Raw genomic sequence first — 4,072 nt, 5'->3', positions numbered from 1 at the left:
GCTGACATTTTGAGCAAAGAAGGTGATTTCTCATTGTGAAGATGTTGTAAACATTGTAGGAATGACAACACAGGATTTAGAATATTTCATAAATTTATTTGATAAAGCAGAAGCAGAGTTTGAGAGAATTGACTCTAGTTTTTAAGTAAGTTCTAATTAAGTTCTGTGAGTAAAATGCTATCAAAATTCACTGGATGCTACAGAGAAATATTTCATTAAAGGATCAATCCATGTAGCAAACACCATTGTTGTCTTAAGAAATGACCACAATCAGCCCAATCTTCAATAATCACCACCCTGATCAGTCAGTAGTCATAACACTGAGGCAAGACTCTCCACCAGCAAAAAGGTTATGCTTCACTGAAGGTCCAGATGATTGTCAGACTTTTCTTTTGTTTAACAATACAAAGTATTTTTATTTTTTTATTTTTGCTGCATGGCTTTATTTTATTTTATTTTATTTTTTATTATTATACTTTAAGTTTTAGGGTACATGTGCACAATGTGCAGGTTTGTTACATATGTATACATGTGCCATGTTGGTGTGCTGCACCATCAACTCCTCATTTAGCATTAGGTATATCGCCCAATGCTATCCCTCCCCCCTCCCCCCACCCCACAACAGTCCCCAGAGTGTGATGTTCCCCTTCCTGTGTCCATGTGTTCTCATTGTTCAATTCCCACCTATGAGTGAGAACATGCGGTGTTTGGTTTTTTGTCCTTGCGATAGTTTGCTGAGAATGATGGTTTCCAGCTTCATCCATGTCCCTACAAAGGACATGAACTCATCATTTTTTATGGCTGCATAGTATTCCATGGTGTATATGTGCCACATTTTCTTAATCCAGTCTATCATTGTTGGACATTTGGGTTGGTTCCAAGTCTTTGCTATTGTGAATAGTGCCACAATAAACATACGTGTGCATGTGTCTTTATAGCAGCATGATTTACAATCCTTTGGGTATATACCCAGTAATGGGATGGCTGGGTCAAATGATATTTCTAGTTCTAGATCCCTGAGGAATCTCCACACTGACTTCCACAATGGTTGAACTAGTTTACAGTCCCAACAACCGTGTAAAAGTGTTCCTATTTCTCCACATCCTCTCCAGCACTTGTTATTTCCTGACTTTTTAATGATCACCATTCTAATTGGTGTGAGATGGTATCTCATTGTGGTTTTGATTTGCATTTCTCTGATGGCCAGTGATGATGAGCATTTTTTCATGTGTTTTTTGGCTGCATAGATGTCTTCTTTTGAGAAGTGTCTGTTCATATCCTTTGCCCACTTTTTGATGGGGTTGTTTGTTTTTTTCTTGTAAATTTGTTTGAGTTCATTGTAGATTCTGGATATTAGTCCTTTGTCAGATGAGTAGATTGCAAAAATTTTCTCCCATTCTGTGGGTTGCCTGTTCACTCTGATGGTGGTTTCTTTTGCTGTGAAGAAGCTCTTTAGTTTAATTAGATCCCATTTGTCAATTTTGGCTTTTGTTGACATTGCTTTTGGTGTTTTAGACATGAAGTCCTTGCCCATGCCTATGTCCTGAATGGTATTGCCTAGGTTTTCTTCTAGGGTTTTTATGGTTTTAGGTCTAACATTTAAGTCTTTAATCCATCTTGAATTAATTTTTGTATAAGGTGTAAGGAAGGGATCCAGTTTCAGCTTTCTACATATGGCTAGCCAGTTTTCCCAGCACCATTTATTAAATAGGGAATCAAATTGTCCCTGTTTGCAGATGACATGATTGTATATCTAGAAAATCCCATCATCTCAGCCCAAAATCTCCTTAAGCTGATAAGCAACTTCAGCAAAGTCTCAGGATATAAAATCGATGTGCAAAAATCACAAGCATTCTTATACACCAATAACAGACAAACAGAGAGCCAAATCATGAATGAACTCCCATTCACAATTGCTTCAAAGAGTATAAAATACCTAGGAATCCAACTTACAAGGGATGTGAAGGACCTCTTCAAGGAGAACTACAAACCACTGCTCAATGAAATAAAAGAGGATACAAACAAATGGAAGAACATTCCATGCTCATGGGTAGGAAGAATCAATATCGTGAAAATGGCCATACTGCCCGAGGTAATTTATAGATTCAATGCCATGCCCATCAAGCTACCAATGGCTTTCTTCACAGAATTGGAAAGAACTACTTTAAAGTTCATATGGAACCAAAAAAGAGCCCACATTGCCAAGTCAATCCTAAGCCAAAAGAACAAAGCTGGAGGCATCACGCTACCTAACTTCAAATTATACTACAAGGCTGCAGTAACCAAAACAGCATGGTACTGGTTCCAAAACAGAGATATAGACCAATGGAACAGAACAGAGCCCTCAGAAATACAAAGTATTTTTAATTAAGGTATGTACATGGCTTTTTACACATAATGCTTTTGGATACTTAATGGACTGCATGACTTTTCTATGCACTGGGAAACCAGCAAATATTTGTGACTGACTTCATTGCAATACTGATTTTACCATGGAGGACTGGAACTGAAAACACAATATCTTCAAGGTATGCCTGTACAGAAGAAAGATGAAGTACTCTCATAGCAGCCACTTAAATTGACACAATAGTGTGCACTGGCTTCAAACTTCTAGCTAACTTATTATGGTTTAAGAAGTGATATTGATATTGAAATATTAATAATAATATTGAAATATTAGTAAGTCAGAATCATTGCATATTTATTGTAATTTGGGTAATTATTTAGGTATGATTCCAAATAAATATATTTATAGAAATTATATTGCCTTCCTTAGTACAACCCACTAACTTTATACTTATGTTAGATTTCCTTAGTTATAGATATCTGTTTAAGAATATCAGACTTTTTGTTAAGCTTTTTTGTGCAATTTAGGAAGTGTGACTTCTGTCTGCTTCATGTTCCAACTTCATTTTTTTCTAATAAATTATTCATCAATAAGTATTTGCTAAAAAAAGAAAGAAAAAAGAAATTACTGTATGAAAATGTGGTTAGTTTTAATGTTTTGAAGGCATATGGGCTGATGACATTTTTTTCCCTAACACAAGGGGAAAAGCAGCACACATAATCAATGGGTTTACTTTGTTTTAAATCTGTTGCCTATGTGTAATTTTTGGAGGGAACATAATATATTTATTATAAAATCATCCAGTTACTCTGTTCATACTGCACAAACTTTATGTGCTGCTGCTAACATTACTACAAATCTCTTTCATACAAGCTAAGCCAACATAAATTTTGAAGGAAATTATATATTTTTATTTTAAGTCTATTTTACAGTCTTCAAAATGCAATGAGGTTAAAGTGACATATTTTCGTTGTTAATCTCAGAGTTTTTCTGTTTTATTTAGACTACAGAAACCTTGGAATACAAATTAGTTTTATTGAAAAATATAAAAATTTAGAAAGCATTATGCATAATTCAACTATAGTTCTGATGAAAGCTAAGTAAAAGGAAGTGTACATCATCTTTGGTCAAATCTCAAAGCATTAACTGTTGCTTTAGAAGTATGTAAAGATGGGACACGAAGATGGCAACAATAGACACTGGGGACCAGACACTGGAGACCACTAGAGGGCAGAAGGGGGGAGGGGGCAAGGGTTGAATAACTACTGAATACTATATTTACTACCTGGTGACAGTATCATTTGTATCCTAAACCTCAGCATCACACAAAGTACTCATGTAACAAACCTACACATGTACCCCAAAATCTAAAACAGAAATTGAGATTATATATATATAAACCAGAAATAGCTGTATAACTGGCAATCTGGTTTTTGTTTTTTTTTTTACTCTAGGTTTATTACAACACTTGAAGAGAGGCAAGAAACAAGAAATCATACTGATTTTTTTCATATGTTTAAGATTTTAGTTACCATTATTAGAAATACCTTAGATAACACACTCTGAAAGAGGAGATTTGGTACATCTTGCATGATTCAAATACTGAAACTTTTGGAAACAAGGATTTATAGAGAAACTGTGTGAAGTTACCCTTTAGGTTGGGATATTCAAAATGAAAGGGACCATGTGGGTTAAATCCTGATAACTACTGAGGTAGATACTTTG

At 35.0% G+C, this 4,072-nt stretch overlaps 1 annotated feature.

The window, feature by feature from the left end:
* Positions 3,409-3,703: a silencer, noted in NCBI's record as "tiled region #1645; K562 Repressive non-DNase unmatched - State 13:Ctcf". NCBI's record gives its function as "represses a minimal TATA promoter and a strong SV40 promoter by Sharpr-MPRA in K562 cells {active_cell/tissue: K562}" and the evidence as "EXISTENCE:reporter gene assay evidence [ECO:0000049][PMID:27701403]".

The sequence above is a fragment of the Homo sapiens genome, chromosome 13 (assembly GCF_000001405.40).
Source record: "Homo sapiens chromosome 13, GRCh38.p14 Primary Assembly".
Lineage (NCBI taxonomy): Eukaryota > Metazoa > Chordata > Mammalia > Primates > Hominidae > Homo > Homo sapiens.
This window is presented reverse-complemented; position numbering and strand designations above follow the sequence as displayed.